A 15,818-nucleotide genomic window follows, 5' to 3' on the forward strand; every position below is an offset into this window, starting at 1 on the left:
TATTCCCAAATCATTAGTTATAATAGGGTGGGGAGTGAAAGAAAATGGGATCTGCTAACGCAAACCTGGCCACTGGGAGCCCAGCTCCATGGATTGGAGGTGAAGGAGTTCCAAATAAAAAAAGAGGTAAGATAATTATGACTTGAACAGACATACCAAATGTTTCTACTATATCTTATCCCTCTGTTACTCAATGTGAGTGCATACTTTACATTGCCTACTAAAATTCATGTTATATAGACTGGCTGCGGTGGCTCATGCCTGTAATCCCAGTACTTTGGGAGGCTGAGGCGGGTGGATCACGAGGTCAGGAGATCAAGACCATCCTGCCTAACACAGTGAAACCCCGTCTCTACTAAAAATACAAAAATTTAGCCGGCTGTAGTGGCAGGTGCCTGTAGCCTCAGCTACTTGGGAGGCTGAGGCAGGAGAATGCATGAACCCGGGAGGCGGAGCTTGCAGTGAGCAGAGATCACGCCACTGCACTCCAGCCTGGGTGACAGAGCAAGACTCCGTCTCAAAAAAAAAAAAAAAAAAAAAAAAGATTCATGTTATATATGAGAACTCCTAAAGTAAAGAATCCTATTTAACCTTGCTCAATTCAAGGCCTTCTGCATTTATTGGATCATGGAACTAATATGAAAATATGGTCATTAAGACTCCATGAAACATTGGGAAATGCCACCCTGAGGAATTGCATTTAAATTCCAAGTTCCCAGAAAGAGAATATTAATTTTGTATCCTACTTTGCAGTTCAGAAACTTAACATGAGGAAATAATTTGGAAGCACAATAACTGATAGTCCAATAACGGCTGTTTATTTCCTTAACAGTAGAAATTTTTAACAAAAGTCTTTTGATGTGTGACAGCAGTATTGTGATGATTAATTTTTCAAAAGTGTCCTGAATAGCACGGGGCAGTTTCTTTGTGTTGATGGAACAGCTCTGTATTTTGGTTGTGGTGGTAGTTATATGAATCTATACATGTGATAAAACTGCAAAGAATAATTGCACATATACGTACGCGCGTGCGCGCGCGCGCGCACACACACACACACACACACACACACACACAAAAGTGCATGTAAAAACTGACGAAATCTGAGTAAGGTATGTAGCCTAATTAATAGTATTGTCCCGATTTTGAAATTATTCTATAGTTATGCAAGACGTTACAATTAGGAGAAATTGGGTTAAGGTTACAGGGGATCTCTTTGTACTATTTTTACCACTTCCTGTGAGTATATGATTACTTCAAAATAAAAGTTAAAAAAAGACACTTGATGGCTGTGAAAATGATTTTAGTTTAAAGCACGACACATAAATAAATATTATAAAATTTCTATGTCATAAAAGGGTCTTAAAGCCAAATGAGCTTACCGACTGCATATGCTCTGGCCCCTTAAAATTTGATGTTATATACCCCAAAGCCTTTGCCCTTTCTCGATAAAGTCGAATTGCTTGATCCATGGGAACTCTTAATCGGAACCAGTATTCCACTGTGCCAAAATTTGGGATGTCTCCTTTTGTTCCTACAAATCAGTACATAACCCAAGGTTAAAATAGTTTCATACATTAAAATAGATAGCAGTAAAAATACATCAATGGCATTATGCATTAAAACTATACATTTTATGCTGAGTAAAATAATATGACTTGCACAAATGATGTGAGATTGGCAAATAACAGATGAAGAAAATAGTTACTTCTGAAGTATGAGTTTCATTGTATATTAAATATTATTAAAGAACTACATCAAACTATGTTTGAGATATTCCAATTTGTACTATTTCATTCCTTCTGAAATATATTTTAAAAATCTAAACATTGGATCAAATACTCCACAGATTCTTTTTGATGCTATAGTATAATACTTTTTTTAAACAAGTTGCACTCAATGTTGTCTGACATTTACAATATGAAACCTCAAAAGTATAAATATGACATTCCACATTCTAATTCAAGTTTCAAGACATCTTTGGCACCTTCCCATTTCTAGACTATCTCACAAGCATAAGGGAAAATGTCATAGCTATGCCAAATACATGTCCCATGCAGTACACCCTTGCACGATGTTTGCCCTGCACACCCTCAGTACTCCTCTCAACTCAGGCAGCTCTTCATCTCTCTTCCATGGGGAAGACTTTCTGTGTGGCTCCCAGGAGAGTAGAGCCCTGTGCCTCCTTCATGGACATCGTATGTCCTTGTTAGGGCACTGACTTCTTTGGCCCGTCTGTTTACCAGCCTATTTCTCTAATACGCCATAAGTTTCTTGAGAGCAAGGGCCATAATTTCCACCAATATACTCCTACTACAGGGACTAGTATATAAAGGCTACTTAATATTTGTCAAATAGAGAATATTCTATACATAAACTTTCCTGAACACACCAGATTATTACAAATATTACCCCTACTCTCTCCTACTTTATCAATTTTTTCCCTGCTAATGGATCATTCTCATCAGCATACAAATGTGACTTACTATCTGCCTGCTATAGTTTGAATGTTTGTACCCTCCAAGAATCATGCTGAAATTTAATTATCATTGTTAAGAGTATTACGAGTAGGACCTTTAAGAGGTGATGAGGCCACGAGGGATCCACCCTCATGAGTAGGATTGGTGCCATTATAACAGGCCGAGATTGACCCCTTCTTGCTCGCTCCCACCCTCTAACCTTCTGCCATGTTGCAGCAAGAAGGCCCTTACCAGATGTGAACACCTTGATATTGGACTTAGGTATTCTGTTACAGCAGCACAAGACACACTATGACAGAAGTCATCATTTAAAAATAAGTCCTAAAAGAATAATATTAATGTAATATATATTTGCTTGTATATGCATAAAAGATCTTTCAAGCTGGGTGTAGTGGCTCATGCCTGTAATCCCAGCACTTTGGGAGACTGAAGTGTGGGCACTGCTTGAGTCCAGGAGCTCGAGACCAGCCTGGGCAACAGAGTGAGACCCTGGCTTAATGAAAAAACACCCCAAACAAACAAACAAAAATCTTTGAAAGAATCTGCAGCCTTTGGTGAGGGGACCCAGGGTGGCTAAGGAAAAGGGGAGGGAGGTAGACATTGAAGTCTTTTTGATTTTTGAGTCATGTGAATATATTACCTCAATCAATCACTCAATTAATAAAATAAAATCCGTCCTGAGACCCTAAGTCACCCTCCTTCCTTCTTCAAATACTTTCTTCACTTGGTCTCTGGGGTACCACAGACTCGTTTTCCTCCTACATCACTGGCCACTCCTCAGTTTCTTTTGCTGGCTTTTCCTCCTCTTCCTGAAGCCTTAATTTTGGAGTTTCCCAAGGCTTGGTCCTTGGCTACCTTCTTTCCTTTATTTACATTCACTCTCTATGTGATTTTATCTATGCTCATGGCTTAAAATATATTCTATATGCTAACAACTCCCACTTTTATATCTCTATCCCTTACTTTCAGATTGGTGTGTCCAGCCACCAGCCTGACATCACCACTTGGATGTCTAATAGGCGGGTCAGTCTTAACTTGTCCAAACAGAATTCTTGATTTTCTTTATCAGATGTGCTCCTTTCCCAGTTTTCCCTATCTCAGTAAATGGCATCACTATTCTTCTAGCTGCTCATGCCAGAAATTCTTACTTCATCCATTTCCCTCATTATCACACATTCAAGTGATAAGCAAGTCTTGAAGGAGAAGTTAATAAAATATGTACTGAATATGACTACTTTTTATCGCCACTTTCATTACCATCTTAATCCAAGCCACCATCGTCTTTCCTTGATCAATACAATAGCCTGAGAACGGTCCTATTTTCCCTCTTGCCTGCTTCAGACTATTCTTTCCACAGCACTCAGGGTGATTTTTCTAAAAGCTCAGAAAATCCAAACTCCTCACTCTGACCTACAAGGCTCTGCAATATGATCTGGCCCCGCCTATCACTTGAATCCCCCCTTTGCTGCAGGCACTGGGCTTACTGCTGTTCCTCCCACTGTCAGGCTTGCTCCTCCCTCAGGTTTTTGCACTTGCTATTGCCTCTGCCTGAAACATTCTTTCCCTGGATCCTGGCATGGATCTTCATTCTTTACCCCCTCAGAGAAGCCCTTACCTGAATTTGCAACCTGCCATTTCTCCCTTTAGCCTCTTTCTCTGATTAACTGTTCTGTATTGCCTGTATTCCTCTCTAGAAGGTAAGCTACAGGGGGTAGTTTTGTCTGTCTTATTTACCACTGACCACCATATTCCCAGTGCCTACTAACAGTGATAACATAAGGTCTTAAAAAATTAATAATTTCATAAATAGCTTATATTATTATTTATAATAGTTATAACTATTAAACCATAAATAATTTAAACTATTATTATGAACTTAAATTACAGTTCAATACATAAATTAATTTATTTATAAATAAATTACATAATTTAGCCAAAAAGAGTATCAATACAATAAACATCTGAAGTTACAAGTTTTAAAAAATTAATAGCCATTGTACTGACATCATCAATGACATTTTTTTTTTGAGATGGAAGAGCGAAAGCTCTTGTTATCCAGGCTGGAGTGCAGTGGCGCCATCTCAGCTCACTGTAACCTCTGCCTCTCGGGTTCAAGCAATTCTGCCTCAGCCTCCCAAGTAGCTGGGATTACAGGCATGCACCACCACACCTGGCTAATTTTTGTATTTTTACTAGAGACGGGGTTTTGCTGTATTTGTCAGGCTGGTCTTGAACTCCTGGCCTCAAGTGCTTCACCTGCCTCGGCCTCCCAAAGTGCTGGGATTAAAGGAGTGAGCCACTGTGCTCGGCATCAGTGACGTTTAAGATAGTCCAATTAACTGTGGGTAAAGAATGTTGTCCTTGCTCTAAAGGCACCTTTAATATACAAGAAAAGATAGTAATGTAGAGTACCATAACGATATATAAACCAAATTAGTAATTCAAACACCCAAGGCTTATACATTGTACTTACCAATCAAACTTGCTGTACAAAATATTCGGCCGCTTTTTTCAAGAATTTCGTGAAATTTTAATTGACATGCTGCAATTGTTTCATATTCTGTGCTATAAGCCTGGTGGACCTCAAGGGTGATAGTATTCTTCTGAATATATTGCAAAAATAAGTCATTAACATGAACAAGATATTGAGAAGTGAAGTTATATTCGGGATGAAGGCCTCGCACTACGGGAGTTGTCTGTAGTTCAAAATCATAGAAAGCATAGGTACAGAAAGTGACAGGCTCTTTATCTCCAGATGCCTGTAAAACTTCAGAAGAAAAGGTTACTTTGTTGATATGGATTTCAAATAGATTTTCGCCTCGTTCTAAGTGGATGGTTTCATCAAATTCATCAACAGAGTCATCTGGCATGATTTCTGGTTTAAATTTGTACTGCTTGGTGCCATAGGCAATATCCTTTAATTGGGCTGCAAGAGAAGACACACAGTTTAGAGATTTCAAAATATTGACATGAGAAAATGAAAACTGGCTTTTGAAGTGTAAGAATGAGTACTTCTGGTGAACAGTCTCTATTTTAAATTCTATGACTACACTGTTTTTCTGTAAATAATACTTTATCGTACAAAAATTTATCATTTCTGTTTTGACATCACTTATTAGGCAGCAACAAAATTGCAACTTCAGTTTTAATATAGCCTAAGCCAGGAAAAAGGGGAGAAAAATATCAAAAGAAGAAAAGCGCTCTTAATGAACAGCTGAGATAACTACCTGGATTTCACCTGCTTCCCTGTCTCTGCTCCACCCATTGTCTTCACTCCTATAAAGTCAGTCTCTCTTTCTGCTGCCTCCTTTCCTTTAACTTATTAAGATTTATACTTTTCTTCTTCGTGGGGTGATGGATAAGTTTATTATCCTGATCATGATGATGGTTTCACCGTTATATACAGAGGCCAACCAAATATCACCAACGTGAATATCTGCCTTGCTTTTCTGTGAAACTGCTCCAGAAAAAGCCAACAATAATCAATTAATTGCTAGACGCAATGAACGCTGGTCCTTGTATTACTTGATTTCTTTACTACATTTGACACTGATGACAATCTCCCATTAGTGAACTCTGTCTAACCTGGACTTCCATGTATGTCATCATCTTCTCTGCTTCTCCTCCTATCCTTCTTCTCATTCTTTTGGGATTTCTCTTCGTCTGCTAGTTTTCTGGGCTTCTGTTTTTAATTATTTTCTTAGTCTACATATTCTCATGAGTGATCTCATCAACTTTTATGACTTTTGTCATTATTAATATGCTAAAGGCTTCCATATTACTATTTTAAATTCATATTTATCTTCTCAACTCCATTCCTATATTTCTAAAGTTTTGTTTAACCCTCTATGTATCTAGATATCCCACACAACATATTCAAAACAGAATGTATCATACTGTCTTGTTTTTTTGTATGTTTTGAGACAGATTCTCACTCTGTCACCCAGGCTGGAGTGCAGTGGCGGAATCTCGGCTCACTGCAACCTCTGCTTCCCAGGTTCAAACGATTCTCCTGACTCAGCCTCCCGAGTAGCTGGGATTACAGGCACCTGCCACCACACTCGGCTAATTTTTAAAATATTTTTAGTAGATGGGGTTTTGCCATGTTGGCCATGCTGGTCTTGAACTCCTAGCCTCAAGTAATCCATCCGCCTTGGCTCTTCAGGTTAATAAGCTTCTACCTCATCAATCAGGGTGAAAACAGGGCCTTCACAATTTTGTTCCTTATAGCTTTCTCTCCAGGTTCTCCTCCTTTTTTTGACTTTCCTGAATTCCAGTTGGATGGATCTACAGTGCAGTTTCTCAAATGTACTGCAATACGTCATATTTAGGGCATCTTTCCCTGCTTTACTTACTGCCTGGAATGCCTTATATTACTTTTACTTAGTAGTGAATTCTGTCATCTTTAAAGACTCCATACCTACTGTGTGAAGTCTTGCCTGAATCTTGAGGTAGAAATAGGCATTCTCTCCTCAATGTTTCCTTGATACCTTTAGATTTTCTTAGCTTTACACTCTTCATAGTAAAACATAACCATTTATTTACTTGTCAACATCTTAGGAGTTCCATGAGGGTAGTGCCTCAGTTTTTCCTATTTGTATTCTCCCTGCCCAGCACTTTGCTTAGGATGCATTAGGGGCTTGATCATGTTTATGGAGTCAATCAATGAATTGAGGGGACAGATAAAATATGATGGTTAAAATTTAGTAAAACTTGAAAGGAATGAAAATCCCAAACACTGTGACCTCCCTTTTAACCAAGAAAATTCCATTAAACAAATTTTTATTGAGTACTACTTGGAATAAAAGGTACACATTGCTCCTTGACTTTTGGAAAACCCTGCTTCGTCAGATAAAGATATTTATTGAGCTCTTCTGCCCAGATCAGAGTTTCTGAAAGTGTGGTTTGGAAACCCCTGATGGTCTCTGAAACCATTTTGGGGATCTGTGAGGTCACAACTATTTTTATAATAATGGTAAAGTGTAATCTGCCCTTTTCATTTTTATCCTCTCACAAGTGTATAATGGAGTTTCTTGGAGGTTACATGATGTGTGATATCACAACAGATTAAATGCAGAAGCAGATATAAAAATCCAGCTGTTTTCTATTAAGCCAGTCTCTAAGAAGATTTGCGAAATGTTAAAAATTTAAAAAATTTTAAACAATGTCCCTCTTCTTGAAGTATTTTTTTGTTTTGGAAAATATAACTTAAAAAAGGTACTTTAATTTATGTTAACACGCAATAAGTTTATTATTATTTTAACAAATTAAAAATATTTAAACATTTTTTTCACTTTTGTTATGATAAATATCAATTAAGTATAACTCATGAATAAAGGCCTTCTCGAACCTCAATAAGTTTTAAGAGTGTAAAATTACTGCTGGCATAGACCACTGAAGTAAATATGGTACGTAGTGGACGTGGACGTGAAAGAGAGACAAAGAACTTATCACTGTAGAACTTACATTTTGGTTATGGAGAATATGCAAAACTCCAACAGCTGAAGAACACTTATATGCTCCCCAAACTTACAGCTTCTGAGTGCATGAGAAGAAAACTGGGTTGGTAAGTGCTGAGCTAGTTTTTTTCAACATGTAGTCTTGCACCTCCATCTGAATAGCTTGCAGTTATTTCTAAATACAATATAAAAAAGCATGGGCCCCAGAACCTCTAGGGGTAGGGCCCAGGAAACTACATTTTAAACGAGTTCCTCAAGTGATTTTCCTACTTGCTAAAGTCTAAAAATCACTGTAAGGACATTTCAAGTAGAGGGATCGCTAGGAATAATTAGAACCAGCTTCCTAGCACAGGTGAGTATTATGTTAGGTTTCAAAGCAGGGAAGCGTGTATCTTGGAATCATGGTAGAAAGGAGGTTTAGGCAGAGCAAACAGCAAGAACAAAGGCATGGCAGTGGGCCTGAGCATGACATATCTGCAAAGAGCAGGTGGAGGACCTGTTTGGCTGAGGTGCACAGGTTGCTTAGAAGAGAAATTAAAAAGTGGTAGTAAATTTGAGTTTGTAGTAATTTATGAAGTAATTTGAAATCTTGCTTGCAACACTGAATTTAAAAAGCAGTAGGGAATTACTAAAAATTCTTGAGTAGAAAAGAATCAAGGCTTGGTGCAGTGTCTCACGCCTGTAATCCCAATACTTTGAGAGGCCGAGGCGGGAGGACGATTTGAGCCCAGGAGTTTGAGATGAGCCTGGGCAACATAGGCTCTACAAAAAAATTAAAAATTAGGAATACTGCTGGAACCCAGGAGGTCAAAGCTGCATTCATGAGCTAGCTATGAATTAGGCGTAAACACAGCAAAAATACACTGTAAGTGCAGATTTGGATGACATTATCAACTGTTATAAAATCCATTCCTCTAGTTACTGTGGACCAAAAAATCGTATATGTTGTACCTTCTAGTTTATGGATACGTGCAGCCCTGATATCAAGAAGATGAACATACTGTTCCACTTTGAGTTCATAATCTTGCTGCAAATTTTCCATCTTACGGGTCACTGCCTCAACCTCCATCTACAAAATAAGGGAAAATAAGTTTTAATACTTATGATTAGTTCTATTTTCATTATTCAAAGCAACTATGATTCAAGCATTTTCTAGATCCTGGAAATAGTAGGAGCTATGAACCATGGTTTCCTGACCTCAAGTAGCTTACACTTTAGAAAATTATGCTTGGCAATATTCACAAATCAGAAGAAAGATAAAACTCCAGATTCCCTTTTATGGAGATGTGTTTTCATTTTGTTAAAAGCTAAGACAATACAGTTATGGCATGACTTCAGGATAACTATAACTCACTCGCAGAATGTGCTAAAGCTAACAAAGGTGATTTCATTGCCACTACTCATTCCCTAAAATCAGGGACTTTAAAAACATTATTTGTGGCAGGGCATGGTGGCTCAGGCCTGTAATCCCAGCACTTTGGGAGGCCGAGGTGGGTGGATCACTTGAGGTCAGAGTTAGAGACCAGTCTGGCTAACATGGTGAATCCCCATCTCTACTAAAAATATAAAAATTAGCTGGGCATGGTGGCGGCACCTGTAATCTCAGCTACTTGGGAGGCTGAGGCAAGAGAATCACTTGAACCTGGGAGGCGGAGGTTGCAGTGAGCCACGATTGCGCCACTGGATTCCAGCCTGGGTGACAACAGCAAAACTCTGTCTCAAAAAAAAAACCAAAAAAACCCCACATTATTTGTTTTAAAACTATTTATTCTAACTAAGTACCTAGTTATAAGGCTACATTCCAGAGATGTGATATGTTAGTAGATTACAATAGATGTTAATAGATAACAGGTGATAACATACAGTATTTAGAAAATAAATCATCAGAATATTATAGAAAACTTACTTTCCCCATTTAGTGTATTACATTACCTGATAATCTTTATTAATTTTGTGTTGCATAATTAGCATGTTTCTTGTCTTTTCCAGCTCTTGCACCGTTTCTGCATGAGTTGCTTGCAGCTCTCTCATAGAGCGTTCTAGATCTTTATTAATTTCACTATCTACTTTCACTAAAAAGGAAAGGTCTCCATTTTTTTGTTCTTTTTGAGCCTAAAATAAAAAACATGTTTTATGACTGAAACAAAAATTTCTAAGATGTGATTTTATGAATTAATATAGATGTATCAATAAATAATTCATTGATTGATCAATTTTCAATTTCATTAATTGAAAACAGACAAAGGAAGTCCTGATATATATATCAGGACTGCTTCATTCCTGATGGAAAAAATGAAATTTACCTGTTAATCAAATTTGAATATTTGGATAGACAATTGGAACAGTTATAGAGAAATCAAAAAATAGTTACTTTATGACATATAAAAGAATCATGTACATTTATTTTTATTTCATTTGATTAAAATCTATGCTGTGATGTAAAAGAAGTGTTTTTTTGTGTCTTATAAATAACAGAATATTCTAGAATTAAAAATTATCTTCTTGAGATATTTATAATTCAATATTTTACTTAGGGTGTGCATCAAGGTCTCTTAGGGCAGAAAATCGATGAGTTAAATAGTGAAGCAGATAAAAGTAAAACGTTTGTTATAATTAAAGAAAGTGCTTTAAATGAGAGTTTTTGAGGTCTGGTTTAATGTAACTTTGATGTCATTATGAAATATGTATATGCTATAACTAAATGTCACCTGATCACTTTCCTGAGTCTTAGTAGTGTTGACATGTTACATACATATTTGTAAAGGATGTACTAAGTTTCAGAAGATGCAAGAATAATTCATTCTCCAAATGTAAGGGTTACAGATAAGGGTCATCATTATGCTGAAACAGTTGTATGCAGACATGAAAATCACGATGAAGTTCAGAACCTTACCTTTATAAGTAGGAGAGCTTCACTCAATTCATCAGCATTAATATCATTCTCCTGCAATAGATTAAGTAAAAGCTCACAATGAGTTATGAATGGAAAATACAAGAGACATTCCAAGTATTCAAATTATCCCCATGAAACATAAACTGACTGATGCCATGAACTAACAAACTAAGTCTACAAGACATTCCAGTGCTTCAAAATGTCCCTATGGAACATAAACTACCTGATAGCATGAGTTAATAAACTGAGTAATTAATATATCTGTATGCTTTCGCTTTGTAGTATAGTGCTTTCTCTATGCATAAAATATTGAGATAAAAATTCTGAGTTTTATTTCTTAAATAAGGAAATAATTCACCTGGTTGTACAATTTTATGCGTTTTTTAAGTTCATCAAGTTGTTGCTTTTGTTCCAGATACTGTAACTGTAGTTCTCTATTCTCTTGAACGAGTTTTTCATTTTGATCTTAAAAATAAAGTCCACACAATTGGAAAGGTAAGTAAAAATCAGGTTTAAGGACACATTTCAAATTACTTTAATTCCTGTTCCACACCAGTCTTGATCTAGTATTGTTCTGGTCAGAAAGGAAACTGAGCTAGCACCTCGACAAAGACAGCAGGGGAATGAGGAATAAATGAACACTATCATGTGTCTACCATATGATTCACTTGCTCATCAAAAACCCAAGACATAAGTTCACAGTATTAATATAAGGAAATTGTGGCCTCTGGGACTTCAAAGGAATGTTCTATTTAAAATACCTGAGAAAATGTGTTTCAAAATCTGTGATTTTTTACTTACTTATTAAGGCTCCTGAAAAGCATGTGGAAAAAAAATTGTCTTTTAGTTTTTTAATTGACATCTTTGAATTTTATTTTCCCAACTTAGCATATAGTATTTTTATTAAAACAAGGTAATTTCCAGAACATGGTAGGGGGGTGAGGGATGAGAAATTACCTGTTGGGTATAATGTACATTATTCGAGTGATGGTTACACTGAAAGGCCAGACTTCATCACTACCTAATATACCCATGTGCACTTGTACCCTCTAAATCCATAATAAAAAAATTAAAAAGTAAGGAAATTCTGAATCTGTATTTAGTCAACCATACTTCCAACAGGTCTATTACATTAGGAGGACTGGATTCTTAAGCCATGCATGGTGGTATCAATAATAATTCATATGGGTTGGGCATCGTGGCTTATGCCTATAATCTCAGCACTTTGGGAGGCTGAGGCAGGAGGATCCCTTAAGTCCAGGAGTTTTGAGATCAGCCTGGGCAACACAGGGAGATCTCATCTCTTAAAAAAAAAATTAAAACAAAATTAGCTGGGCATGCTTGTAGTCCCATCTACTTGGGAGGCTGAGGTGGGAGGATCTGTTGAGCCTGGGGAGTTGAGGCTGCAGTGAGCCATGATTGTGCCACTGCATTCCAGCCTGGGCGACAGAGCAAGACTCTGTCCCCCCAAAATAAATAAATTCATATGTGTTCTTTATTCACTGAGTTCATGCTACTAATCAGTCGGAATGGACTTGGAGCTAGTGCTAAGAAATGGAATAATGGTTATGCTTGTCTAGGTACTCAGTTGCTATGACCCACAAGCAGGAGGGTAGAGTAGAATTTAGAAGATAGCAAATTCATAAAGAGACTAATTTTTCACTCCCTGCATTAAACATGTTTAGCTTTTTTTAAAAAAAGCATAATAGCTAGCGAACAAATCCACAGTATTTGATAATCTCACGTACTTAAGTGTACTCTTTGCTAGAGCTCACTGTCACACTCAGGTATCCTCCTTTGTTGACTCCCTGTGGACTAACTCTAAGCCATGTCATCTAAAGTATCTCTACCAATTTCATCCTGCTCTCAACCATTTATGTTTATCATAAGTCTTCAATTTATGTTGTACATTTTTGTTTCCTTTTCTTAAAAAAATGAACACATTTGCCAAGAATTCTTTGCACAAAGGCATTTGCATACTGACTGCATTTTAAACAAAAATATGTTTCTGACTTTTATAAGGCATTGTGTTCTCAAGCTATAAATACTACATATAAATAAAAATGTTAAATTACACAGTTAGGAATAAATTTGGATGTTTTTAATGTCATATAATTCTTGGCAGTCTAAAAAGTAAAAAAATAAAAAAATAAAAAAAAAAAACCTGTGATCCTAGGCAATACAGAGACATTTTACATCAAGGCTGGCGCAGTGGCTCATGCCTGTAATCCCAGCACTTTGGGAGGCTGAGGCAGGTGGATCGCGAGGTCAGGAGTTCGAGACCAGCCTGACCAACATGGTGAACCCCGTCTCTACTAAAAATACAAAAATTAGCTGGGCATGGTGGCACGTGCCTGTAATCCCAGCTACTCAGGAGGCTGAGGCAGGAGAATTGCTTGAACCCAGGAGGCAGAGGTTGCTGTGAGCCGAGATTGCGCCACTGCACTCCAGCCTGGGCAATAGAGTGAGACTACATCTAAAAAAAAAAAAAAAAAATCAAATATACTGTATAAACACTTTTGTCTTATTGATAGAAGGTTACAAGGTTATCCTAGAGTATAAATTGCTTATATCTAGTTTACTAAAGAAAAGAATATCCAGGCCGGGCACGATGGCTCACGCCTGTAATCCCAGCACTTTGGGAGGCAGAGGTGGGTGGATTATGAGGTCAGGAGTTCAAGACCAGCCTAGTCAACATGGTGAAACCCCATCTCTACTAAAAATACAAGAATTAGCTGGGCATGGTGGTGCATGCCTGTAGTCCCAGCTACTCAGGAGGCTGAGACAGGATAAGAATTGCTTGAACCTGGGAGGCGGAGGTTGTGGTGAGCCGAGATCGCACCACTGCACTCCAGCCTGGGCAACAGAGCGACACTCCATTTCAAAAAAAAAAAAAAAGAATATCCAAATGTGAACAATACTTAAAAATTTTGAAGGTATAGGTTAAATACTTGTCTTTAAACTAAAAATTCAGATGAATAATAAATATGGATTTATATGAGATAAACTTTTTTGTTAGAGAATAGAATAAGTAAGTGGGACTCTGTATGTTGATTAAATTAAAACAACATCTAGATAGAATGGTTAGGTAACAAAAAGAAGGCAAATATAGTCCGAAGTATGTAAAAACAAAGGTACTGAGGATAATATAATTTTATTCTCTGGCCAGTAAAACATTTTAGGGTTTCTAAGGGTGAGCTAAAGTGTAAAGGGCATGACTGTTCCATCTTTATCCAGACACACTGTATTTTGATTATCATTTCTATGTTCTGGTTTTCCTTTTCTTTCAATTTTTCAGAGCAGGGTTCCTATATGTTATTAGGTAGAAATAAACTTATTTATTTAAATGTTTCCAGCCTTTCCTAACTGTTGTTTCAACAACGATATCTCCATTCACTGATATTTTTTAAACAAGGGCATTATTAGTGGAAAAATAACTTAGTGTGAGAAGACATTACTGAGTACCTGTAACTTACCTTCTACTGAATTTTATTTAGAATTATCCACTACATTTTTCCTTTCTCAAACTGTTTATTTGGGACATAACTCCTGGGTCTTTAAAAAGTACTGAAATGCTATAGTTCAAAGAGGAAATATACTTGCTGAATTATAATAGGCAAAATCAAAGCACTCTGTACAAGATGAAAAATAACCTCCTTACCTTATGATTTGACAAAAAGCAGGTCAAGCTAAACAGCATTTTATTCAAATGAGATAACATTTCACTCTTTTAAAATTATGTTCTTCCAGCACACCATTAATAAGCAGACTGCAGAGAACAATTCAACTAAACAATTTTCAGAGCGCCTTTGTGCTAATATCTTCAGCTGTGATCAATATAACCATATGCATTATGCTGAATTATGCATTTCAGCTAAAGATAGAAAGGAACTTTCAAAAGCAAGCCCTTAAACACATGCAGTTAATTTAAGCATTAACCAAATGCAAACTGCATTTACATATCCTTCCCCCACATATTCACACAATCTGAAACTAATTTGTACCTTGAATAAAGAGGTGAGTATTCTTTAAAAATAATTTGCCAGTTAGATGAATGACTACAAGAAGCCAGGGAAACATCTTCTGGCAAAGAACACTTGATACATGAGAAGGTAAATGTATGAAGACACTTCAAAGTAAAATTAAACAGTTTCAAAATCTGTAATACAAAATGGAGCTTTCTAAATATTAAAAGATTTTCTTAAATAGACAGTTTCGGTTTTTTTGTGTATTATTTCCTTGGAAGAAATGGTTAAAGGCTGTAATATTTTTCTTATAACCCATTGTAACATTCCCACAAAGAAACGAAAACTTAAATCCTTAGACTTGCAAATCTGAGGTATTCAAACAAAAATAACTGGAAAGTAATAGTTGCATTAAAAGTAAGGATTCAGTTCTAGCAATTTTTCTTTAGAAAATAATCGGATAAATGTGTAAAAATTTGTGTGGAAAGATACTGTTTTATGATACTTAAACTGAAGCTATTTAAATATTCAATAGAAGATTGTTAAATAATCCATGGTACATACACACACTGGAAAACTGTAACAGCCATTATAAATGATTGTGATGTAGATTTATATTAAGGAATGATTTTACAATATAGCAAAAAAAGCACATTGTAAAACTACATCTATCATTTAGAAATAACTCTGAAAGGACATAAATCAAATATTAGCAGTGATTATTTTGCTAATATTTTGTGGGTTGTGGGATTGATTTTTCTAATTTACATACTGGACTTTTTCATAATGTACATGAGTTATGTTTATTATTAAAAAAAATTCCCAAATGATAAAAAAGCCACTAAAAAAGATGAGGAATAAATTAGATAAATTAAAATAAGAACTGTAATACTTAGTAAGAACCCTCAGAATTAATTCAACGACAATAAACAGGTCTAACAAAAAAACCAAGATTTTACCCCCCTTAAGAAAAGCTTCTTTGCAAAGATCAGTTCAGATATCCAAAAGATAACAGCTTTAGGAT

General features: G+C 36.4%; 1 protein-coding gene across 30 annotated transcripts in view; it reads right to left on the minus strand.

Annotated features, from left to right (window-relative positions):
* Positions 1-15,818, minus strand: part of RPGRIP1L (RPGRIP1 like) — a 105,707-nt gene that overhangs the window by 49,432 nt on the left and 40,457 nt on the right. For 15 of the 30 annotated variants that reach the window (XR_007064862.1, XR_007064860.1, XR_007064861.1 and 12 more), the window contains exons 11-16: positions 11,188-11,294; positions 10,830-10,880; positions 9,869-10,048; positions 8,888-9,005; positions 4,951-5,403; positions 1,380-1,531 (exon numbers count right to left, since the gene is read on the minus strand). Coding sequence is in view for 26 of the 30 variants with exons in the window: in NM_001127897.4 (NP_001121369.1) it covers positions 1,380-1,531; positions 4,951-5,403; positions 8,888-9,005; positions 9,869-10,048; positions 10,830-10,880; positions 11,188-11,294 (1,061 nt within the window). In the remaining 4 variants the exon portion in view is untranslated. Of the gene's footprint in view, positions 1-1,379; positions 1,532-4,950; positions 5,404-5,704; positions 6,409-7,943; positions 8,016-8,887; positions 9,006-9,868; positions 10,049-10,829; positions 10,881-11,187; positions 11,295-11,630; positions 11,643-15,818 lie in introns of those variants that run through there. The other 15 variants (XR_933260.4, XM_017023095.3, XM_005255868.3 and 12 more) reach the window with 4 other exon arrangements.

This window comes from Homo sapiens, chromosome 16 (genome assembly GCF_000001405.40).
Source record: "Homo sapiens chromosome 16, GRCh38.p14 Primary Assembly".
In the NCBI taxonomy this organism is placed as follows: Eukaryota; Metazoa; Chordata; class Mammalia; order Primates; family Hominidae; genus Homo; species Homo sapiens.